The following is a 24,427-nucleotide window of genomic DNA, read 5'->3' on the forward strand; positions in this document are numbered from 1 at the left end:
GAGGTGGTAAATGACAGACACTGGAAGGTGTTTAATGAATCCTGCCAAATTCACTTCAAACCTCCAAATAATGGGGAAAAAAAGAGATACTTTTTTTAAAAGGACCAGGTCATCTCATAAGAGCTAAGCATCAAAAACACCAAAAGTGCCTGGGGGTGGTGGCTCACGCCTGTAATCCAGCACTTTGGGAGGCCGCACTTTGGGAGGCCGAGGCAGGCAGATCACCTGAGGTCAGTAGTTCGAGACCAGCATGACCAATATGGTAAAACCCTGTCTGTACTAAAAATACAAAAAATTAGCTGGACATGGTGGTGCGCGCCTGTAGTCCCAGCTACTCGGAAGGGTGAGGCAGGAAATTTGCTGGAGCCTGGGAGGTGGAGGTTGCAGTGAGCCAAGATGGCCCCACTGCACTCCAGCCTGGGTGACAGAGCGAGACTCAGTTTCAAAAAAAAAAAAAAAAAATTAGTAATATATGCAATATTATTTTCACACTTGCATCACATATTAAATCAGACTAGCCGTATTACAAGTGCTCAGTAGTCACAACACACAGCTCTAAAGATGAGCCCCATCTCTCTCTTTTCAAAAATTGTTTTAAACTTGTCATTTTACTTGATTTTTGGCTGCAGTGAAAGAATTTCAAAGAGTCTTACCAAATGGCGGAAAGTAATATCTTTCAATGAAGGTATGGTGGGCCAAAACAAAGACGTAAAGGAGAGATTTGAGTTAAGATTACTTATTGAAAAATCTTCCCACGTTTCAGTTTATTCATTTAAAACAAACTTTTATTTTTTAACTTGAACACTGTCACATACATCCATGAAAGTTAGATGTCACTGGATATCACTTTTGATGTAACGAACTTTGGAATGATATGTGTTACAATTCCCACAGGCATCTGGAGAAAAAGATAAAAACAATGAACAACAGAGTCTTCTTTCTTTTCCTCCCAACTGTGGGATGAAATGAGAGATGATAAACAATAGTACAACATTAACCAGCACCAGTGACTTTCTAAATAGAAGAAAATGGCCAGCTCTGTGTATATCTGCAACATTTGTGTGCTATATCTTAAACAAGTAGAGAAGCCCATCTTTTCCTTTTGTAACTCACGAGCTTGGATATCAGGGTGCTTGTGGAACTGAAGGTTTCAGTCAAATGATCACACCAACCTTGTCTGCCTAGCACTAGAAAAGCTTGTTGCTTTTGTTTTTACATGAGGGGCCATTCTGGGATTTAAATAAATCTCTCAAGCTTCAACAGCCTGTGCTGGTTCCACAAATAATACTCCCTTACCCTCCCAGACCCTTGGTTTCCGTATCTACCATGTGGGAAAGAAGCCGTTACGAAATATACGGCTGTGAAAATGCAAAATAAATAAATAAATAAGAAAGAAAGAAAAATGTTAACCATTTAAATACACTCAAAGATGGATATACCTTAAGACTTCATTACCAATTCAGTGATAAACACACATTCTTTTCATCTGACTGTGACATAAAATACCAAAATATATAGCCAAATAAATATCTAGGTATTAACCATTCATTGTGGTCCTACTTGAAATTCTTAGCTTTTTGCTATTTTTAAGTAGTCACTTTGTAAAAGGCATTGAGTTGTCTCCTAGTTACTACGGGAGCCTGCATTTCTGTGGTCAAGTAACGAAGGCCCAACTAATGCGTGGCCCAGCCAAGTTAGCGGCTGTGTCTGGCAACTGTTTTCTACACAAATATTGGTCCTGGTAGTAGGTCTGATACATCTGCCACTTGTTAGTAGTCTTGCAGCTAGAGGACAAAAGACCTCAACATGAACAAATGAGTAGCCGAGAAGTATATTTCAGAACACACTGCAGTTCATATTACTAGGTACATGAATATTCTCGTAACATTTTAAGTAAGTTAAATTGAATTTTTAAACTAATTTTAAACTTTTTCTTACTTAACTTACTGAGAATTTTTGTTGTTGTTCAATAAAACTGTCTGCAACAGGTAAATGCCAGGAATAGTTGAGTGATTCTCAAAGCTATACACAGATACCTGGATTTTCTTGGCTTCACCTCTGCTGCGTCTAGGTCCCTTTGGAGTTCTTCACCTTGTTTTCCGCATCCTTCTCTTTTTCTTGTTCTTTCTCTTCCTCGCCTGCAGCATCTTGGGCCTCTTCATCCCACTTTTCGGGCTGAGATTTAGTGACTTCTTTAGGGAAGAATAATACACACATGGGGACCAGACATTCACAGAAAATATAGCCCAATTTATAACTAGCAGCGGCATTCAGCTACTCCACCCTCAGGAGAAGCAGGATAGAGTTAAGTAAGAAAGGAATAGCTGGGCACCTTCCTACTGGTTTTCACAACAGTTCCATGGCCCTCACGTTGCTGCTGCTTGATCATTTCCACAGGGACACTGTATTTCCCTTTTTTCCAGTAAATCTCCCACCCAAAGCGGCTGATTATTTCTAGTTCTTTGGAGAAGAAGAGATCTGAATCATCGGGTCCGATCTCATTCTACGGTGTTTTGGTCAGAACTTTGTTGGGAAAATATTTGTTTACCTCAAAAGACAAATTCTATGGTGAAGCTCATTGGTTCCTCACCCCCCCGAATGCTTCATTTTTACCAAGTGCTCCTGCATCACTTCATCATTTGGGGGATCAACTTTCTACGAATCTTTACACTTTGAAAAGCCATGAACTAAAAGGGATGCCTGCCATTTGCCTGTTCTTTTCCTTGGCGCATCCCTTCTGTTTCCTGCGGAGCTCCCTCCTGAACCCCTATCTACCCGGCCATTCATCTGCGGGCTCACAAATGGCACCGATGATCTCAGATCTCCTATCAAATATAGGTTGGTAGAGGGCGACAAGTTTTCTCAAAACCACAGATGTCGTTAGAGAATTGGGCTTCGACTCATTGGGACACATTCTGCCTTAAGTTTCAGGAGGGCCCCGACTCCTGCTTCACCACCCGAGGCCCCGACCCCCCTTCACCACCCGCTTCACCAGCTATGCCCGCACCGCGGCCCTGCCTAGAACCCTGGGACACACGGGTCCCCGCCTCCCCGCTGCTGCCGCTAGCCCGTTCCTTACCCTCTGGGGCCGTGGCCTCCTGTGCGGTCGGTTCTTCTGTGGCCGGTTCCTCTGCGTCTGGTTCCTCTGTGGCCTCCTCTGAGAGCTTCTCCTCTGCGGCCTCCTCCGCGGGCTCCCTGGCCATCTCGGCCAGGTCAGCTGGCACTGCAGGCTCTGGGACCGATGCGGCCTCCTGGATCAGGCCCAGGCCCTCGCCCGCCCGGGCTGCGGCCCCTGCACCCAGCCTCTGGGGCAGCAGCAGCGGGGGGAGGTTGCCCCAGAGGTTGCGCGCAGCAGCGTGTGGCCCCACCATCAGGCGGCTGAGTTGACGGTTCTCTATGAGGATGTGGTCGTTGTGAGAGAGGCGGTGGAGAAGGGAGTGGACCATGTCCAGGAGCACGAAGTGAATGCCCGACGCCGGGTAGCGACGGGCGACCACCGCCAAGTCGAAGTTGGCCGCCTCGTTCCCCTCTTCCTCCTCCTCTTCCTCCGTCGCGGGCCCGATATCTGAGTCCTCCTCGGCGCTCCCGCCCCGGGGGACTGCGGCCAGGCCTGCCGCCTGCTCACCCTCCTCCTCCCCGAGGCCTTCCACGGGCCCTGCGACTCCGACCACCTCGGCCGCAGGCACCACGTCGCTGCTGTCGGGGCCGGAGTCGCCGCCCTCCTGGTTACCAGCTCCGGCCGCCTCGGCCTGTGCTCCCTCCTGGCTTACCGGGGCCTCCTGGTCCCCTTGGGTCGGGTGTCGGTCCCCTGTGGCAGACATGACACCAGCAGCGCCTCAACTGGGGTGGCGAGCGGGCTGAGGCGACCACGGTGAAGACGGTGACCACTGAGGTGGCTACGGCCGAGGGGAGGCGAGGAGCTGGCCGCTGAGGGAATAAGAGTCTCTCTCTTTATTGAGGGAATAAGAGTCTGTCTCAGACGACACCCTAAGATGGGAAGGGCAGGGAGCGAATCCTAGAAACCTCCCACCAAGGCTGGCCTGAGAGGACTTAGACAAGTTGGGAAAGATTCTGGTTGGCAGGCGAAAGGGGGCGGGACCGGAAGGGTCAACGAGGGGCTCTCAGTGAGCCCTAAGCTCATTTGCTGAAAACTTCAGATTGACATGTTCTATGTCCAATGAATGATCAAGGCCCTTAAGCTCTAGAACTGAGAATCCAGAATCCAGAGCTTTTTCTTTTCTTTTCATAGTGTTGCTCTGTTGCCCAGGCTGGAGTGCAGTGGCAAGATCTCGGCTCACTGCAATCCCCGCCTCCTGGGTTCCAGTGATTCTCCTGCCTCAGCCTCCTGAGTAGCTGGGACTACAGGTACATGCCACCACGCCTGGCTAGGTTTTGTATTTTTAGTAGAGACAGGGTTTCACCATGTTGGCCAGGATGGTCTCGATCTCCTGACCTTGTGATCCACCTGCCTCAGCCTCCCAAAGTGCTTGGATTACAGGCATGAGCCACCGTGCCAGGCCGAGCTCTACCTTTTCTATGAGGCCTTAGTGTCCAAGGCTACCCCTTTAGGTCCACACAAGTCCTGCCCTTTTAATTTTATGATTATTAGCAACACTATAGTAGTCCCATGTGGAGGCACCCTGGAGCATGGGAACTGCAAGGCGGTCACAGAGTTCACTTATTTCCACCTAGTAATGGCTCATGCCAGTAGAGATAGTGTCATAAAAATGTTATATAGTTCATAGCTAAGCAGTAGTGAAAACCTCCCAAGAGACATAAGAATTTCACTGAGTTAACGTAGTTAAAGCTACTTAGAAAAGAATGTGCGGAGTTGAAATGGATGCAGTCATCACTGAGTGTTGAGGTGGTAAATGACAGACACTGGAAGGTGTTTAATGAATCCTGCCAAATTCACTTCAAACCTCCAAATAATGGGGAAAAAAAGAGATACTTTTTTTAAAAGGACCAGGTCATCTCATAAGAGCTAAGCATCAAAAACACCAAAAGTGCCTGGGGGTGGTGGCTCACGCCTGTAATCCAGCACTTTGGGAGGCCGCACTTTGGGAGGCCGAGGCAGGCAGATCACCTGAGGTCAGTAGTTCGAGACCAGCATGACCAATATGGTAAAACCCTGTCTGTACTAAAAATACAAAAAATTAGCTGGACATGGTGGTGCGCGCCTGTAGTCCCAGCTACTCGGAAGGGTGAGGCAGGAAATTTGCTGGAGCCTGGGAGGTGGAGGTTGCAGTGAGCCAAGATGGTCCCACTGCACTCCAGCCTGGGTGACAGAGCGAGACTCAGTTTCAAAAAAAAAAAAAAAAATTAGTAATATATGCAATATTATTTTCACACTTGCATCACATATTAAATCAGACTAGCCGTATTACAAGTGCTCAGTAGTCACAACACACAGCTCTAAAGATGAGCCCCATCTCTCTCTTTTCAAAAATTGTTTTAAACTTGTCATTTTACTTGATTTTTGGCTGCAGTGAAAGAATTTCAAAGAGTCTTACCAAATGGCGGAAAGTAATATCTTTCAATGAAGGTATGGTGGGCCAAAACAAAGACGTAAAGGAGAGATTTGAGTTAAGATTACTTATTGAAAAATCTTCCCACGTTTCAGTTTATTCATTTAAAACAAACTTTTATTTTTTAACTTGAACACTGTCACATACATCCATGAAAGTTAGATGTCACTGGATATCACTTTTGATGTAACGAACTTTGGAATGATATGTGTTACAATTCCCACAGGCATCTGGAGAAAAAGATAAAAACAATGAACAACAGAGTCTTCTTTCTTTTCCTCCCAACTGTGGGATGAAATGAGAGATGATAAACAATAGTACAACATTAACCAGCACCAGTGACTTTCTAAATAGAAGAAAATGGCCAGCTCTGTGTATATCTGCAACATTTGTGTGCTATATCTTAAACAAGTAGAGAAGCCCATCTTTTCCTTTTGTAACTCACGAGCTTGGATATCAGGGTGCTTGTGGAACTGAAGGTTTCAGTCAAATGATCACACCAACCTTGTCTGCCTAGCACTAGAAAAGCTTGTTGCTTTTGTTTTTACATGAGGGGCCATTCTGGGATTTAAATAAATCTCTCAAGCTTCAACAGCCTGTGCTGGTTCCACAAATAATACTCCCTTACCCTCCCAGACCCTTGGTTTCCGTATCTACCATGTGGGAAAGAAGCCGTTACGAAATATACGGCTGTGAAAATGCAAAATAAATAAATAAATAAGAAAGAAAGAAAAATGTTAACCATTTAAATACACTCAAAGATGGATATACCTTAAGACTTCATTACCAATTCAGTGATAAACACACATTCTTTTCATCTGACTGTGACATAAAATACCAAAATATATAGCCAAATAAATATCTAGGTATTAATCATTCATTGTGGTCCTACTTGAAATTCTTAGCTTTTTGCTATTTTTAAGTAGTCACTTTGTAAAAGGCATTGAGTTGTCTCCTAGTTACTACGGGAGCCTGCATTTCTGTGGTCAAGTAACGAAGGCCCAACTAATGCGTGGCCCAGCCAAGTTAGCGGCTGTGTCTGGCAACTGTTTTCTACACAAATATTGGTCCTGGTAGTAGGTCTGATACATCTGCCACTTGTTAGTAGTCTTGCAGCTAGAGGACAAAAGACCTCAACATGAACAAATGAGTAGCCGAGAAGTATATTTCAGAACACACTGCAGTTCATATTACTAGGTACATGAATATTCTCGTAACATTTTAAGTAAGTTAAATTGAATTTTTAAACTAATTTTAAACTTTTTCTTACTTAACTTACTGAGAATTTTTGTTGTTGTTCAATAAAACTGTCTGCAACAGGTAAATGCCAGGAATAGTTGAGTGATTCTCAAAGCTATACACAGATACCTGGATTTTCTTGGCTTCACCTCTGCTGCGTCTAGGTCCCTTTGGAGTTCTTCACCTTGTTTTCCGCATCCTTCTCTTTTTCTTGTTCTTTCTCTTCCTCGCCTGCAGCATCTTGGGCCTCTTCATCCCACTTTTCGGGCTGAGATTTAGTGACTTCTTTAGGGAAGAATAATACACACATGGGGACCAGACATTCACAGAAAATATAGCCCAATTTATAACTAGCAGCGGCATTCAGCTACTCCACCCTCAGGAGAAGCAGGATAGAGTTAAGTAAGAAAGGAATAGCTGGGCACCTTCCTACTGGTTTTCACAACAGTTCCATGGCCCTCACGTTGCTGCTGCTTGATCATTTCCACAGGGACACTGTATTTCCCTTTTTTCCAGTAAATCTCCCACCCAAAGCGGCTGATTATTTCTAGTTCTTTGGAGAAGAAGAGATCTGAATCATCGGGTCCGATCTCATTCTACGGTGTTTTGGTCAGAACTTTGTTGGGAAAATATTTGTTTACCTCAAAAGACAAATTCTATGGTGAAGCTCATTGGTTCCTCACCCCCCCGAATGCTTCATTTTTACCAAGTGCTCCTGCATCACTTCATCATTTGGGGGATCAACTTTCTACGAATCTTTACACTTTGAAAAGCCATGAACTAAAAGGGATGCCTGCCATTTGCCTGTTCTTTTCCTTGGCGCATCCCTTCTGTTTCCTGCGGAGCTCCCTCCTGAACCCCTATCTACCCGGCCATTCATCTGCGGGCTCACAAATGGCACCGATGATCTCAGATCTCCTATCAAATATAGGTTGGTAGAGGGCGACAAGTTTTCTCAAAACCACAGATGTCGTTAGAGAATTGGGCTTCGACTCATTGGGACACATTCTGCCTTAAGTTTCAGGAGGGCCCCGACTCCTGCTTCACCACCCGAGGCCCCGACCCCCCTTCACCACCCGCTTCACCAGCTATGCCCGCACCGCGGCCCTGCCTAGAACCCTGGGACACACGGGTCCCCGCCTCCCCGCTGCTGCCGCTAGCCCGTTCCTTACCCTCTGGGGCCGTGGCCTCCTGTGCGGTCGGTTCTTCTGTGGCCGGTTCCTCTGCGTCTGGTTCCTCTGTGGCCTCCTCTGAGAGCTTCTCCTCTGCGGCCTCCTCCGCGGGCTCCCTGGCCATCTCGGCCAGGTCAGCTGGCACTGCAGGCTCTGGGACCGATGCGGCCTCCTGGATCAGGCCCAGGCCCTCGCCCGCCCGGGCTGCGGCCCCTGCACCCAGCCTCTGGGGCAGCAGCAGCGGGGGGAGGTTGCCCCAGAGGTTGCGCGCAGCAGCGTGTGGCCCCACCATCAGGCGGCTGAGTTGACGGTTCTCTATGAGGATGTGGTCGTTGTGAGAGAGGCGGTGGAGAAGGGAGTGGACCATGTCCAGGAGCACGAAGTGAATGCCCGACGCCGGGTAGCGACGGGCGACCACCGCCAAGTCGAAGTTGGCCGCCTCGTTCCCCTCTTCCTCCTCCTCTTCCTCCGTCGCGGGCCCGATATCTGAGTCCTCCTCGGCGCTCCCGCCCCGGGGGACTGCGGCCAGGCCTGCCGCCTGCTCACCCTCCTCCTCCCCGAGGCCTTCCACGGGCCCTGCGACTCCGACCACCTCGGCCGCAGGCACCACGTCGCTGCTGTCGGGGCCGGAGTCGCCGCCCTCCTGGTTACCAGCTCCGGCCGCCTCGGCCTGTGCTCCCTCCTGGCTTACCGGGGCCTCCTGGTCCCCTTGGGTCGGGTGTCGGTCCCCTGTGGCAGACATGACACCAGCAGCGCCTCAACTGGGGTGGCGAGCGGGCTGAGGCGACCACGGTGAAGACGGTGACCACTGAGGTGGCTACGGCCGAGGGGAGGCGAGGAGCTGGCCGCTGAGGGAATAAGAGTCTTTCTCTTTATTGAGGAAATAAGAGTCTGTCTCAGAGGACACCCTAAGGTGGGAAGGGCAGGGAGCGAATCCTAGGAACCTCCCACCAAGTCTGGCCTGAGAGGACTTAGATAAGGCGGGAAAGATTCTGGTTGGCAGGAGACAGGGGGCGGGACCGGAAGGGTCAACGAGGGGCTCTCAGTGAGCCCTAAGCTCATTTGCTGAAAACTTCAGATTGACATGCTCTTTGTCCAATGAATGATCAAGGCCCTTAAGCTCTAGGACAACTCAGAATCCAGAATCCAGAGCTTTTCCTTTTCTTTTTTTTATTTTTATTTTTTCAGACGGAGCCTTGCTCTATTGCCCAGGCTGGAGTACAGTGGCATGATCTCAGCTGACTGCAATCCCCGCCTCCTGGGTTCCAGTGATTCTCCTGCCTCAGCCTCCTGAGTAGCTGGGACTATAGGTGCATGCCACCACGCCCGGCTAGTTTTTGTATTTTTAGTAGAGACAGGGTTTCACCATGTTGGCCAGGATGGTCTCGATCTCCTGATCTTGTGATCCACCTACCTCGGCCTCCCAAAGTGCTGGGATTACAGGCGTGAGCCAGTGTGCCCGGCCGAGCTCCACCTTTTCTTTGAGGCCTTAGTGTCCAGGGCTACCCTTTAGGTCCACACAAGTCCTGCCCTTTTAATTTTATGATTATTAGCAACACTATAGTAGTCCCATGTGGAGGCACCCTGGAGCATGGGAACTGCAAGGCGGTCACAGAGTTCACTTATTTCCACCTAGTAATGGCTCATGCCAGTAGAGATAGTGTCATAAAAATGTTATATAGTTCATAGCTAAGCAGTAGTGAAAACCTCCCAAGAGACATAAGAATTTCACTGAGTTAACGTAGTTAAAGCTACTTAGAAAAGAATGTGCAGAGTTGAAATGGATGCAGTCATCACTGAGTGTTGAGGTGGTAAATGACAGACACTGGAAGGTGTTTAATGAATCCTGCCAAATTCACTTCAAACCTCCAAATAATGGGGAAAAAAAGAGATACTTTTTTTAAAAGGACCAGGTCATCTCATAAGAGCTAAGCATCAAAAACACCAAAAGTGCCTGGGGGTGGTGGCTCACGCCTGTAATCCAGCACTTTGGGAGGCCGCACTTTGGGAGGCCGAGGCAGGCAGATCACCTGAGGTCAGTAGTTCGAGACCAGCATGACCAATATGGTAAAACCCTGTCTGTACTAAAAATACAAAAAATTAGCTGGACATGGTGGTGCGCGCCTGTAGTCCCAGCTACTCGGAAGGGTGAGGCAGGAAATTTGCTGGAGCCTGGGAGGTGGAGGTTGCAGTGAGCCAAGATGGCCCCACTGCACTCCAGCCTGGGTGACAGAGCGAGACTCAGTTTCAAAAAAAAAAAAAAAAATTAGTAATATATGCAATATTATTTTCACACTTGCATCACATATTAAATCAGACTAGCCGTATTACAAGTGCTCAGTAGTCACAACACACAGCTCTAAAGATGAGCCCCATCTCTCTCTTTTCAAAAATTGTTTTAAACTTGTCATTTTACTTGATTTTTGGCTGCAGTGAAAGAATTTCAAAGAGTCTTACCAAATGGCGGAAAGTAATATCTTTCAATGAAGGTATGGTGGGCCAAAACAAAGACGTAAAGGAGAGATTTGAGTTAAGATTACTTATTGAAAAATCTTCCCACGTTTCAGTTTATTCATTTAAAACAAACTTTTATTTTTTAACTTGAACACTGTCACATACATCCATGAAAGTTAGATGTCACTGGATATCACTTTTGATGTAACGAACTTTGGAATGATATGTGTTACAATTCCCACAGGCATCTGGAGAAAAAGATAAAAACAATGAACAACAGAGTCTTCTTTCTTTTCCTCCCGACTGTGGGATGAAATGAGAGATGATAAACAATAGTACAACATTAACCAGCACCAGTGACTTTCTAAATAGAAGAAAATGGCCAGCTCTGTGTATATCTGCAACATTTGTGTGCTATATCTTAAACAAGTAGAGAAGCCCATCTTTTCCTTTTGTAACTCACGAGCTTGGATATCAGGGTGCTTGTGGAACTGAAGGTTTCAGTCAAATGATCACACCAACCTTGTCTGCCTAGCACTAGAAAAGCTTGTTGCTTTTGTTTTTACATGAGGGGCCATTCTGGGATTTAAATAAATCTCTCAAGCTTCAACAGCCTGTGCTGGTTCCACAAATAATACTCCCTTACCCTCCCAGACCCTTGGTTTCCGTATCTACCATGTGGGAAAGAAGCCGTTACGAAATATACGGCTGTGAAAATGCAAAATAAATAAATAAATAAGAAAGAAAGAAAAATGTTAACCATTTAAATACACTCAAAGATGGATATACCTTAAGACTTCATTACCAATTCAGTGATAAACACACATTCTTTTCATCTGACTGTGACATAAAATACCAAAATATATAGCCAAATAAATATCTAGGTATTAATCATTCATTGTGGTCCTACTTGAAATTCTTAGCTTTTTGCTATTTTTAAGTAGTCACTTTGTAAAAGGCATTGAGTTGTCTCCTAGTTACTACGGGAGCCTGCATTTCTGTGGTCAAGTAACGAAGGCCCAACTAATGCGTGGCCCAGCCAAGTTAGCGGCTGTGTCTGGCAACTGTTTTCTACACAAATATTGGTCCTGGTAGTAGGTCTGATACATCTGCCACTTGTTAGTAGTCTTGCAGCTAGAGGACAAAAGACCTCAACATGAACAAATGAGTAGCCAAGAAGTATATTTCAGAACACACTGCAGTTCATATTACTAGGTACATGAATATTCTCGTAACATTTTAAGTAAGTTAAATTGAATTTTTAAACTAATTTTAAACTTTTTCTTACTTAACTTACTGAGAATTTTTGTTGTTGTTCAATAAAACTGTCTGCAACAGGTAAATGCCAGGAATAGTTGAGTGATTCTCAAAGCTATACACAGATACCTGGATTTTCTTGGCTTCACCTCTGCTGCGTCTAGGTCCCTTTGGAGTTCTTCACCTTGTTTTCTGCATCCTTCTCTTTTTCTTGTTCTTTCTCTTCCTCGCCTGCAGCATCTTGGGCCTCTTCATCCCACTTTTCGGGCTGAGATTTAGTGACTTCTTTAGGGAAGAATAATACACACATGGGGACCAGACATTCACAGAAAATATAGCCCAATTTATAACTAGCAGCGGCATTCAGCTACTCCACCCTCAGGAGAAGCAGGATAGAGTTAAGTAAGAAAGGAATAGCTGGGCACCTTCCTACTGGTTTTCACAACAGTTCCATGGCCCTCACGTTGCTGCTGCTTGATCATTTCCACAGGGACACTGTATTTCCCTTTTTTCCAGTAAATCTCCCACCCAAAGCGGCTGATTATTTCTAGTTCTTTGGAGAAGAAGAGATCTGAATCATCGGGTCCGATCTCATTCTACGGTGTTTTGGTCAGAACTTTGTTGGGAAAATATTTGTTTACCTCAAAAGACAAATTCTATGGTGAAGCTCATTGGTTCCTCACCCCCCTGAATGCTTCATTTTTACCAAGTGCTCCTGCATCACTTCATCATTTGGGGGATCAACTTTCTACGAATCTTTACACTTTGAAAAGCCATGAACTAAAAGGGATGCCTGCCATTTGCCTGTTCTTTTCCTTGGCGCATCCCTTCTGTTTCCTGCGGAGCTCCCTCCTGAACCCCTATCTACCCGGCCATTCATCTGCGGGCTCACAAATGGCACCGATGATCTCAGATCTCCTATCAAATATAGGTTGGTAGAGGGCGACAAGTTTTCTCAAAACCACAGATGTCGTTAGAGAATTGGGCTTCGACTCATTGGGACACATTCTGCCTTAAGTTTCAGGAGGGCCCCGACTCCTGCTTCACCACCCGAGGCCCCGACCCCCCTTCACCACCCGCTTCACCAGCTATGCCCGCACCGCGGCCCTGCCTAGAACCCTGGGACACACGGGTCCCCGCCTCCCCGCTGCTGCCGCTAGCCCGTTCCTTACCCTCTGGGGCCGTGGCCTCCTGTGCGGTCGGTTCTTCTGTGGCTGGTTCCTCTGCGTCTGGTTCCTCTGTGGCCTCCTCTGAGAGCTTCTCCTCTGCGGCCTCCTCCGCGGGCTCCCTGGCCATCTCGGCCAGGTCAGCTGGCACTGCAGGCTCTGGGACCGATGCGGCCTCCTGGATCAGGCCCAGGCCCTCGCCCGCCCGGGCTGCGGCCCCTGCACCCAGCCTCTGGGGCAGCAGCAGCGGGGGGAGGTTGCCCCAGAGGTTGCGCGCAGCAGCGTGTGGCCCCACCATCAGGCGGCTGAGTTGACGGTTCTCTATGAGGATGTGGTCGTTGTGAGAGAGGCGGTGGAGAAGGGAGTGGACCATGTCCAGGAGCACGAAGTGAATGCCCGACGCCGGGTAGCGACGGGCGACCACCGCCAAGTCGAAGTTGGCCGCCTCGTTCCCCTCTTCCTCCTCCTCTTCCTCCGTCGCGGGCCCGATATCTGAGTCCTCCTCGGCGCTCCCGCCCCGGGGGACTGCGGCCAGGCCTGCCGCCTGCTCACCCTCCTCCTCCCCGAGGCCTTCCACGGGCCCTGCGACTCCGACCACCTCGGCCGCAGGCACCACGTCGCTGCTGTCGGGGCCGGAGTCGCCGCCCTCCTGGTTACCAGCTCCGGCCGCCTCGGCCTGTGCTCCCTCCTGGCTTACCGGGGCCTCCTGGTCCCCTTGGGTCGGGTGTCGGTCCCCTGTGGCAGACATGACACCAGCAGCGCCTCAACTGGGGTGGCGAGCGGGCTGAGGCGACCACGGTGAAGACGGTGACCACTGAGGTGGCTACGGCCGAGGGGAGGCGAGGAGCTGGCCGCTGAGGGAATAAGAGTCTCTCTCTTTATTGAGGGAATAAGAGTCTGTCTCAGACGACACCCTAAGATGGGAAGGGCAGGGAGCGAATCCTAGAAACCTCCCACCAAGGCTGGCCTGAGAGGACTTAGACAAGTTGGGAAAGATTCTGGTTGGCAGGCGAAAGGGGGCGGGACCGGAAGGGTCAACGAGGGGCTCTCAGTGAGCCCTAAGCTCATTTGCTGAAAACTTCAGATTGACATGTTCTATGTCCAATGAATGATCAAGGCCCTTAAGCTCTAGAACTGAGAATCCAGAATCCAGAGCTTTTTCTTTTCTTTTCATAGTGTTGCTCTGTTGCCCAGGCTGGAGTGCAGTGGCAAGATCTCGGCTCACTGCAATCCCCGCCTCCTGGGTTCCAGTGATTCTCCTGCCTCAGCCTCCTGAGTAGCTGGGACTACAGGTACATGCCACCACGCCTGGCTAGGTTTTGTATTTTTAGTAGAGACAGGGTTTCACCATGTTGGCCAGGATGGTCTCGATCTCCTGACCTTGTGATCCACCTGCCTCAGCCTCCCAAAGTGCTTGGATTACAGGCATGAGCCACCGTGCCAGGCCGAGCTCTACCTTTTCTATGAGGCCTTAGTGTCCAAGGCTACCCCTTTAGGTCCACACAAGTCCTGCCCTTTTAATTTTATGATTATTAGCAACACTATAGTAGTCCCATGTGGAGGCACCCTGGAGCATGGGAACTGCAAGGCGGTCACAGAGTTCACTTATTTCCACCTAGTAATGGCTCATGCCAGTAGAGATAGTGTCATAAAAATGTTATATAGTTCATAGCTAAGCAGTAGTGAAAACCTCCCAAGAGACATAAGAATTTCACTGAGTTAACGTAGTTAAAGCTACTTAGAAAAGAATGTGCAGAGTTGAAATGGATGCAGTCATCACTGAGTGTTGAGGTGGTAAATGACAGACACTGGAAGGTGTTTAATGAATCCTGCCAAATTCACTTCAAACCTCCAAATAATGGGGAAAAAAAGAGATACTTTTTTTAAAAGGACCAGGTCATCTCATAAGAGCTAAGCATCAAAAACACCAAAAGTGCCTGGGGGTGGTGGCTCACGCCTGTAATCCAGCACTTTGGGAGGCCGCACTTTGGGAGGCCGAGGCAGGCAGATCACCTGAGGTCAGTAGTTCGAGACCAGCATGACCAATATGGTAAAACCCTGTCTGTACTAAAAATACAAAAAATTAGCTGGACATGGTGGTGCGCGCCTGTAGTCCCAGCTACTCGGAAGGGTGAGGCAGGAAATTTGCTGGAGCCTGGGAGGTGGAGGTTGCAGTGAGCCAAGATGGCCCCACTGCACTCCAGCCTGGGTGACAGAGCGAGACTCAGTTTCAAAAAAAAAAAAAAAAAATTAGTAATATATGCAATATTATTTTCACACTTGCATCACATATTAAATCAGACTAGCCGTATTACAAGTGCTCAGTAGTCACAACACACAGCTCTAAAGATGAGCCCCATCTCTCTCTTTTCAAAAATTGTTTTAAACTTGTCATTTTACTTGATTTTTGGCTGCAGTGAAAGAATTTCAAAGAGTCTTACCAAATGGCGGAAAGTAATATCTTTCAATGAAGGTATGGTGGGCCAAAACAAAGACGTAAAGGAGAGATTTGAGTTAAGATTACTTATTGAAAAATCTTCCCACGTTTCAGTTTATTCATTTAAAACAAACTTTTATTTTTTAACTTGAACACTGTCACATACATCCATGAAAGTTAGATGTCACTGGATATCACTTTTGATGTAACGAACTTTGGAATGATATGTGTTACAATTCCCACAGGCATCTGGAGAAAAAGATAAAAACAATGAACAACAGAGTCTTCTTTCTTTTCCTCCCGACTGTGGGATGAAATGAGAGATGATAAACAATAGTACAACATTAACCAGCACCAGTGACTTTCTAAATAGAAGAAAATGGCCAGCTCTGTGTATATCTGCAACATTTGTGTGCTATATCTTAAACAAGTAGAGAAGCCCATCTTTTCCTTTTGTAACTCACGAGCTTGGATATCAGGGTGCTTGTGGAACTGAAGGTTTCAGTCAAATGATCACACCAACCTTGTCTGCCTAGCACTAGAAAAGCTTGTTGCTTTTGTTTTTACATGAGGGGCCATTCTGGGATTTAAATAAATCTCTCAAGCTTCAACAGCCTGTGCTGGTTCCACAAATAATACTCCCTTACCCTCCCAGACCCTTGGTTTCCGTATCTACCATGTGGGAAAGAAGCCGTTACGAAATATACGGCTGTGAAAATGCAAAATAAATAAATAAATAAGAAAGAAAGAAAAATGTTAACCATTTAAATACACTCAAAGATGGATATACCTTAAGACTTCATTACCAATTCAGTGATAAACACACATTCTTTTCATCTGACTGTGACATAAAATACCAAAATATATAGCCAAATAAATATCTAGGTATTAATCATTCATTGTGGTCCTACTTGAAATTCTTAGCTTTTTGCTATTTTTAAGTAGTCACTTTGTAAAAGGCATTGAGTTGTCTCCTAGTTACTACGGGAGCCTGCATTTCTGTGGTCAAGTAACGAAGGCCCAACTAATGCGTGGCCCAGCCAAGTTAGCGGCTGTGTCTGGCAACTGTTTTCTACACAAATATTGGTCCTGGTAGTAGGTCTGATACATCTGCCACTTGTTAGTAGTCTTGCAGCTAGAGGACAAAAGACCTCAACATGAACAAATGAGTAGCCAAGAAGTATATTTCAGAACACACTGCAGTTCATATTACTAGGTACATGAATATTCTCGTAACATTTTAAGTAAGTTAAATTGAATTTTTAAACTAATTTTAAACTTTTTCTTACTTAACTTACTGAGAATTTTTGTTGTTGTTCAATAAAACTGTCTGCAACAGGTAAATGCCAGGAATAGTTGAGTGATTCTCAAAGCTATACACAGATACCTGGATTTTCTTGGCTTCACCTCTGCTGCGTCTAGGTCCCTTTGGAGTTCTTCACCTTGTTTTCCGCATCCTTCTCTTTTTCTTGTTCTTTCTCTTCCTCGCCTGCAGCATCTTGGGCCTCTTCATCCCACTTTTCGGGCTGAGATTTAGTGACTTCTTTAGGGAAGAATAATACACACATGGGGACCAGACATTCACAGAAAATATAGCCCAATTTATAACTAGCAGCGGCATTCAGCTACTCCACCCTCAGGAGAAGCAGGATAGAGTTAAGTAAGAAAGGAATAGCTGGGCACCTTCCTACTGGTTTTCACAACAGTTCCATGGCCCTCACGTTGCTGCTGCTTGATCATTTCCACAGGGACACTGTATTTCCCTTTTTTCCAGTAAATCTCCCACCCAAAGCGGCTGATTATTTCTAGTTCTTTGGAGAAGAAGAGATCTGAATCATCGGGTCCGATCTCATTCTACGGTGTTTTGGTCAGAACTTTGTTGGGAAAATATTTGTTTACCTCAAAAGACAAATTCTATGGTGAAGCTCATTGGTTCCTCACCCCCCTGAATGCTTCATTTTTACCAAGTGCTCCTGCATCACTTCATCATTTGGGGGATCAACTTTCTACGAATCTTTACACTTTGAAAAGCCATGAACTAAAAGGGATGCCTGCCATTTGCCTGTTCTTTTCCTTGGCGCATCCCTTCTGTTTCCTGCGGAGCTCCCTCCTGAACCCCTATCTACCCGGCCATTCATCTGCGGGCTCACAAATGGCACCGATGATCTCAGATCTCCTATCAAATATAGGTTGGTAGAGGGCGACAAGTTTTCTCAAAACCACAGATGTCGTTAGAGAATTGGGCTTCGACTCATTGGGACACATTCTGCCTTAAGTTTCAGGAGGGCCCCGACTCCTGCTTCACCACCCGAGGCCCCGACCCCCCTTCACCACCCGCTTCACCAGCTATGCCCGCACCGCGGCCCTGCCTAGAACCCTGGGACACACGGGTCCCCGCCTCCCCGCTGCTGCCGCTAGCCCGTTCCTTACCCTCTGGGGCCGTGGCCTCCTGTGCGGTCGGTTCTTCTGTGGCCGGTTCCTCTGCGTCTGGTTCCTCTGTGGCCTCCTCTGAGAGCTTCTCCTCTGCGGCCTCCTCCGCGGGCTCCCTGGCCATCTCGGCCAGGTCAGCTGGCACTGCAGGCTCTGGGACCGATGCGGCCTCCTGGATCAGGCCCAGGCCCTCGCCCGCCCGGGCTGCGGCCCCTGCACCCAGCCTCTGGGGCAGCAGCAGCGGGGGGAGGTTGCCCCAGAGGTTGCGCGCAGCAGCGTGTGGCCCCACCATCAGGCGGCTGAGTTGACGGTTCTCTATGAGGATGTGGTCGTTGTGAGAGAGGCGGTGGAGAAGGGAGTGGACCATGTCCAGGAGCACGAAGTGAATGCCCGACGCCGGGTAGCGACGGGCGACCACCGCCAAGTCGAAGTTGGCCGCCTCGTTCCCCTCTTCCTCCTCCTCTTCCTCCGTCGCGGGCCCGATATCTGAGTCCTCCTCGGCGCTCCCGCCCCGGGGGACTGCGGCCAGGCCTGCCGCCTGCTCACCCTCCTCCTCCCCGAGGCCTTCCACGGGCCCTGCGACTCCGACCACCTCGGCCGCAGGCACCACGTCGCTGCTGTCGGGGCCGGAGTCGCCGCCCTCCTGGTTACCAGCTCCGGCCGCCTCGGCCTGTGCTCCCTCCTGGCTTACCGGGGCCTCCTGGTCCCCTTGGGTCGGGTGTCGGTCCCCTGTGGCAGACATGACACCAGCAGCGCCTCAACTGGGGTGGCGAGCGGGCTGAGGCGACCACGGTGAAGACGGTGACCACTGAGGTGGCTACGGCCGAGGGGAGGCGAGGAGCTGGCCGCTGAGGGAATAAGAGTCTCTCTCTTTATTGAGGGAATAAGAGTCTGTCTCAGACGACACCCTAAGATGGGAAGGGCAGGGAGCGAATCCTAGAAACCTCCCACCAAGGCTGGCCTGAGAGGACTTAGACAAGTTGGGAAAGATTCTGGTTGGCAGGCGAAAGGGGGCGGGACCGGAAGGGTCAACGAGGGGCTCTCAGTGAGCCCTAAGCTCATTTGCTGAAAACTTCAGATTGACATGTTCTATGTCCAATGAATGATCAAGGCCCTTAAGCTCTAGAACTGAGAATCCAGAATCCAGAGCTTTTTCTTTTCTTTTCATAGTGTTGCTCTGTTGCCCAGGCTGGAGTGCAGTGGCAAGATCTCGGCTCACTGCAATCCCCGCCTCCTGGGTTCCAGTGATTCTCCTGCCTCAGCCTCCTGAGTAGCTGGGACTACAGGTACATGCCACCACGCCTGGCTAGGTTTTGTATTTTTAGTAGAGACAGGGTTTCACCATGTTGGCCAGGATGGTCTCGATCTCCTGACCTTGTGATCCACCTGCCTCAGCCTCCCAAAGTGCTTGGATTACAGGCATGAGCCACCGTGCCAGGCCGAGCTCTACCTTTTCTATGAGGCCTTAGTGTCCAAGGCTACCCCTTTAGGTCCACACAAGTCCTGCCCTTTTAATTTTATGATTATTAGCAACACTATAGTAGTCCCATGTGGAGGCACCCTGGAGCATGGGAACTGCAAGGCGGTCACAGAGTTCACTTATTTCCACCTAGTAATGGCTCATGCCAGTAGAGATAGTGTCATAAAAATGTTATATAGTTCATAGCTAAGCAGTAGTGAAAACCTCCCAAGAGACATAAGAATTTCACTGAGTTAACGTAGTTAAAGCTACTTAGAAAAGAATGTGCAGAGTTGAAATGGATGCAGTCATCACTGAGTGTTGAGGTGGTAAATGACAGACACTGGAAGGTGTTTAATGAATCCTGCCAAATTCACTTCAAACCTCCAAATAATGGGGAAAAAAAGAGATACTTTTTTTAAAAGGACCAGGTCATCTCATAAGAGCTAAGCATCAAAAACACCAAAAGTGCCTGGGGGTGGTGGCTCACGCCTGTAATCCAGCACTTTGGGAGGCCGCACTTTGGGAGGCCGAGGCAGGCAGATCACCTGAGGTCAGTAGTTCGAGACCAGCATGACCAATATGGTAAAACCCTGTCTGTACTAAAAATACAAAAAATTAGCTGGACATGGTGGTGCGCGCCTGTAGTCCCAGCTACTCGGAAGGGTGAGGCAGGAAATTTGCTGGAGCCTGGGAGGTGGAGGTTGCAGTGAGCCAAGATGGCCCCACTGCACTCCAGCCTGGGTGACAGAGCGAGACTCAGTTTCAAAAAAAAAAAAAAAAATTAGTAATATATGCAATATTATTTTCACACTTGCATCACATATTAAATCAGACTAGCCGTATTACAAGTGCTCAGTAGTCACAACACACAGCTCTAAAGATGAGCCCCATCTCTCTCTTTTCAAAAATTGTTTTAAACTTGTCATTTTACTTGATTTTTGGCTGCAGTGAAAGAATTTCAAAGAGTCTTACCAAATGGCGGAAAGTAATATCTTTCAATGAAGGTATGGTGGGCCAAAACAAAGACGTAAAGGAGAGATTTGAGTTAAGATTACTTATTGAAAAATCTTCCCACGTTTCAGTTTATTCATTTAAAACAAACTTTTATTTTTTAACTTGAACACTGTCACATACATCCATGAAAGTTAGATGTCACTGGATATCACTTTTGATGTAACGAACTTTGGAATGATATGTGTTACAATTCCCACAGGCATCTGGAGAAAAAGATAAAAACAATGAACAACAGAGTCTTCTTTCTTTTCCTCCCGACTGTGGGATGAAATGAGAGATGATAAACAATAGTACAACATTAACCAGCACCAGTGACTTTCTAAATAGAAGAAAATGGCCAGCTCTGTGTATATCTGCAACATTTGTGTGCTATATCTTAAACAAGTAGAGAAGCCCATCTTTTCCTTTTGTAACTCACGAGCTTGGATATCAGGGTGCTTGTGGAACTGAAGGTTTCAGTCAAATGATCACACCAACCTTGTCTGCCTAGCACTAGAAAAGCTTGTTGCTTTTGTTTTTACATGAGGGGCCATTCTGGGATTTAAATAAATCTCTCAAGCTTCAACAGCCTGTGCTGGTTCCACAAATAATACTCCCTTACCCTCCCAGACCCTTGGTTTCCGTATCTACCATGTGGGAAAGAAGCCGTTACGAAATATACGGCTGTGAAAATGCAAAATAAATAAATAAATAAGAAAGAAAGAAAAATGTTAACCATTTAAATACACTCAAAGATGGATATACCTTAAGACTTCATTACCAATTCAGTGATAAACACACATTCTTTTCATCTGACTGTGACATAAAATACCAAAATATATAGCCAAATAAATATCTAGGTATTAATCATTCATTGTGGTCCTACTTGAAATTCTTAGCTTTTTGCTATTTTTAAGTAGTCACTTTGTAAAAGGCATTGAGTTGTCTCCTAGTTACTACGGGAGCCTGCATTTCTGTGGTCAAGTAACGAAGGCCCAACTAATGCGTGGCCCAGCCAAGTTAGCGGCTGTGTCTGGCAACTGTTTTCTACACAAATATTGGTCCTGGTAGTAGGTCTGATACATCTGCCACTTGTTAGTAGTCTTGCAGCTAGAGGACAAAAGACCTCAACATGAACAAATGAGTAGCCAAGAAGTATATTTCAGAACACACTGCAGTTCATATTACTAGGTACATGAATATTCTCGTAACATTTTAAGTAAGTTAAATTGAATTTTTAAACTAATTTTAAACTTTTTCTTACTTAACTTACTGAGAATTTTTGTTGTTGTTCAATAAAACTGTCTGCAACAGGTAAATGCCAGGAATAGTTGAGTGATTCTCAAAGCTATACACAGATACCTGGATTTTCTTGGCTTCACCTCTGCTGCGTCTAGGTCCCTTTGGAGTTCTTCACCTTGTTTTCCGCATCCTTCTCTTTTTCTTGTTCTTTCTCTTCCTCGCCTGCAGCATCTTGGGCCTCTTCATCCCACTTTTCGGGCTGAGATTTAGTGACTTCTTTAGGGAAGAATAATACACACATGGGGACCAGACATTCACAGAAAATATAGCCCAATTTATAACTAGCAGCGGCATTCAGCTACTCCACCCTCAGGAGAAGCAGGATAGAGTTAAGTAAGAAAGGAATAGCTGGGCACCTTCCTACTGGTTTTCACAACAGTTCCATGGCCCTCACGTTGCTGCTGCTTGATCATTTCCACAGGGACACTGTATTTCCCTTTTTTCCAGTAAATCTCCCACCCAAAGCGGCTGATTATTTCTAGTTCTTTGGAGAAGAAGAGATCTGAATCATCGGGTCCGATCTCATTCTACGGTGTTTTGGTCAGAACTTTGTTGGGAAAATATTTGTTTACCTCAAAAGACAAATTCTATGGTGAAGCTCATTGGTTCCTCACCCCCCTGAATGCTTCATTTTTACCAAGTGCTCCTGCATCACTTCATCATTTGGGGGATCAACTTTCTACGAATCTTTACACTTTGAAAAGCCATGAACTAAAAGGGATGCCTGCCATTTGCCTGTTCTTTTCCTTGGCGCATCCCTTCTGTTTCCTGCGGAGCTCCCTCCTGAACCCCTATCTACCCGGCCATTCATCTGCGGGCTCACAAATGGCACCGATGATCTCAGATCTCCTATCAAATATAGGTTGGTAGAGGGCGACAAGTTTTCTCAAAACCACAGATGTCGTTAGAGAATTGGGCTTCGACTCATTGGGACACATTCTGCCTTAAGTTTCAGGAGGGCCCCGACTCCTGCTTCACCACCCGAGGCCCCGACCCCCCTTCACCACCCGCTTCACCAGCTATGCCCGCACCGCGGCCCTGCCTAGAACCCTGGGACACACGGGTCCCCGCCTCCCCGCTGCTGCCGCTAGCCCGTTCCTTACCCTCTGGGGCCGTGGCCTCCTGTGCGGTCGGTTCTTCTGTGGCCGGTTCCTCTGCGTCTGGTTCCTCTGTGGCCTCCTCTGAGAGCTTCTCCTCTGCGGCCTCCTCCGCGGGCTCCCTGGCCATCTCGGCCAGGTCAGCTGGCACTGCAGGCTCTGGGACCGATGCGGCCTCCTGGATCAGGCCCAGGCCCTCGCCCGCCCGGGCTGCGGCCCCTGCACCCAGCCTCTGGGGCAGCAGCAGCGGGGGGAGGTTGCCCCAGAGGTTGCGCGCAGCAGCGTGTGGCCCCACCATCAGGCGGCTGAGTTGACGGTTCTCTATGAGGATGTGGTCGTTGTGAGAGAGGCGGTGGAGAAGGGAGTGGACCATGTCCAGGAGCACGAAGTGAATGCCCGACGCCGGGTAGCGACGGGCGACCACCGCCAAGTCGAAGTTGGCCGCCTCGTTCCCCTCTTCCTCCTCCTCTTCCTCCGTCGCGGGCCCGATATCTGAGTCCTCCTCGGCGCTCCCGCCCCGGGGGACTGCGGCCAGGCCTGCCGCCTGCTCACCCTCCTCCTCCCCGAGGCCTTCCACGGGCCCTGCGACTCCGACCACCTCGGCCGCAGGCACCACGTCGCTGCTGTCGGGGCCGGAGTCGCCGCCCTCCTGGTTACCAGCTCCGGCCGCCTCGGCCTGTGCTCCCTCCTGGCTTACCGGGGCCTCCTGGTCCCCTTGGGTCGGGTGTCGGTCCCCTGTGGCAGACATGACACCAGCAGCGCCTCAACTGGGGTGGCGAGCGGGCTGAGGCGACCACGGTGAAGACGGTGACCACTGAGGTGGCTACGGCCGAGGGGAGGCGAGGAGCTGGCCGCTGAGGGAATAAGAGTCTCTCTCTTTATTGAGGGAATAAGAGTCTGTCTCAGACGACACCCTAAGATGGGAAGGGCAGGGAGCGAATCCTAGAAACCTCCCACCAAGGCTGGCCTGAGAGGACTTAGACAAGTTGGGAAAGATTCTGGTTGGCAGGCGAAAGGGGGCGGGACCGGAAGGGTCAACGAGGGGCTCTCAGTGAGCCCTAAGCTCATTTGCTGAAAACTTCAGATTGACATGTTCTATGTCCAATGAATGATCAAGGCCCTTAAGCTCTAGAACTGAGAATCCAGAATCCAGAGCTTTTTCTTTTCTTTTCATAGTGTTGCTCTGTTGCCCAGGCTGGAGTGCAGTGGCAAGATCTCGGCTCACTGCAATCCCCGCCTCCTGGGTTCCAGTGATTCTCCTGCCTCAGCCTCCTGAGTAGCTGGGACTACAGGTACATGCCACCACGCCTGGCTAGGTTTTGTATTTTTAGTAGAGACAGGGTTTCACCATGTTGGCCAGGATGGTCTCGATCTCCTGACCTTGTGATCCACCTGCCTCAGCCTCCCAAAGTGCTTGGATTACAGGCATGAGCCACCGTGCCAGGCCGAGCTCTACCTTTTCTATGAGGCCTTAGTGTCCAAGGCTACCCCTTTAGGTCCACACAAGTCCTGCCCTTTTAATTTTATGATTATTAGCAACACTATAGTAGTCCCATGTGGAGGCACCCTGGAGCATGGGAACTGCAAGGCGGTCACAGAGTTCACTTATTTCCACCTAGTAATGGCTCATGCCAGTAGAGATAGTGTCATAAAAATGTTATATAGTTCATAGCTAAGCAGTAGTGAAAACCTCCCAAGAGACATAAGAATTTCACTGAGTTAACGTAGTTAAAGCTACTTAGAAAAGAATGTGCAGAGTTGAAATGGATGCAGTCATCACTGAGTGTTGAGGTGGTAAATGACAGACACTGGAAGGTGTTTAATGAATCCTGCCAAATTCACTTCAAACCTCCAAATAATGGGGAAAAAAAGAGATACTTTTTTTAAAAG

At 48.1% G+C, this 24,427-nt stretch overlaps 5 protein-coding genes across 6 annotated transcripts; all 5 read right to left on the bottom strand.

The window, feature by feature from the left end:
• Nucleotides 758-4,080, bottom strand: CT47A8 (cancer/testis antigen family 47 member A8). Of its 2 annotated transcripts, NM_001080139.2 has the most exons (3): nucleotides 3,080-4,080; nucleotides 2,037-2,192; nucleotides 758-898 (listed from the first exon to the last, which is right to left on the bottom strand). In NM_001080139.2, exons 1-2 carry the CDS (start codon nucleotides 3,819-3,821, stop codon nucleotides 2,068-2,070), a joined length of 867 nt encoding a protein of 288 aa, NP_001073608.1. In that variant the 5' UTR covers nucleotides 3,822-4,080; the 3' UTR covers nucleotides 758-898; nucleotides 2,037-2,067. The 2 variants fall into 2 exon arrangements, with proteins under 2 accessions (NP_001073608.1, XP_011529685.1); XM_011531383.3 differs by lacking the exons at nucleotides 758-898; nucleotides 2,037-2,192 and adding an exon at nucleotides 2,376-2,825.
• CT47A7 (cancer/testis antigen family 47 member A7) lies at nucleotides 5,618-8,936 on the bottom strand. The gene is made up of 3 exons (NM_001080140.1): nucleotides 7,940-8,936; nucleotides 6,897-7,052; nucleotides 5,618-5,758 (listed from the first exon to the last, which is right to left on the bottom strand). The coding sequence occupies exons 1-2, from the start codon at nucleotides 8,679-8,681 to the stop codon at nucleotides 6,928-6,930; spliced, it is 867 nt and encodes a 288-aa protein (NP_001073609.1). The 5' UTR covers nucleotides 8,682-8,936; the 3' UTR covers nucleotides 5,618-5,758; nucleotides 6,897-6,927.
• On the bottom strand, nucleotides 10,501-13,823 carry CT47A6 (cancer/testis antigen family 47 member A6). The gene is made up of 3 exons (NM_001080141.2): nucleotides 12,823-13,823; nucleotides 11,780-11,935; nucleotides 10,501-10,641 (listed from the first exon to the last, which is right to left on the bottom strand). Exons 1-2 carry the CDS (start codon nucleotides 13,562-13,564, stop codon nucleotides 11,811-11,813), a joined length of 867 nt encoding a protein of 288 aa, NP_001073610.1. The 5' UTR covers nucleotides 13,565-13,823; the 3' UTR covers nucleotides 10,501-10,641; nucleotides 11,780-11,810.
• CT47A5 (cancer/testis antigen family 47 member A5) lies at nucleotides 15,362-18,684 on the bottom strand. The gene is made up of 3 exons (NM_001080142.2): nucleotides 17,684-18,684; nucleotides 16,641-16,796; nucleotides 15,362-15,502 (listed from the first exon to the last, which is right to left on the bottom strand). The coding sequence occupies exons 1-2, from the start codon at nucleotides 18,423-18,425 to the stop codon at nucleotides 16,672-16,674; spliced, it is 867 nt and encodes a 288-aa protein (NP_001073611.1). The 5' UTR covers nucleotides 18,426-18,684; the 3' UTR covers nucleotides 15,362-15,502; nucleotides 16,641-16,671.
• On the bottom strand, nucleotides 20,222-23,544 carry CT47A4 (cancer/testis antigen family 47 member A4). The gene is made up of 3 exons (NM_001080143.2): nucleotides 22,544-23,544; nucleotides 21,501-21,656; nucleotides 20,222-20,362 (listed from the first exon to the last, which is right to left on the bottom strand). Exons 1-2 carry the CDS (start codon nucleotides 23,283-23,285, stop codon nucleotides 21,532-21,534), a joined length of 867 nt encoding a protein of 288 aa, NP_001073612.1. The 5' UTR covers nucleotides 23,286-23,544; the 3' UTR covers nucleotides 20,222-20,362; nucleotides 21,501-21,531.

The sequence above is a fragment of the Homo sapiens genome, chromosome X, assembly GCF_000001405.40.
Source record: "Homo sapiens chromosome X, GRCh38.p14 Primary Assembly".
In the NCBI taxonomy this organism is placed as follows: domain Eukaryota; kingdom Metazoa; phylum Chordata; class Mammalia; order Primates; family Hominidae; genus Homo; species Homo sapiens.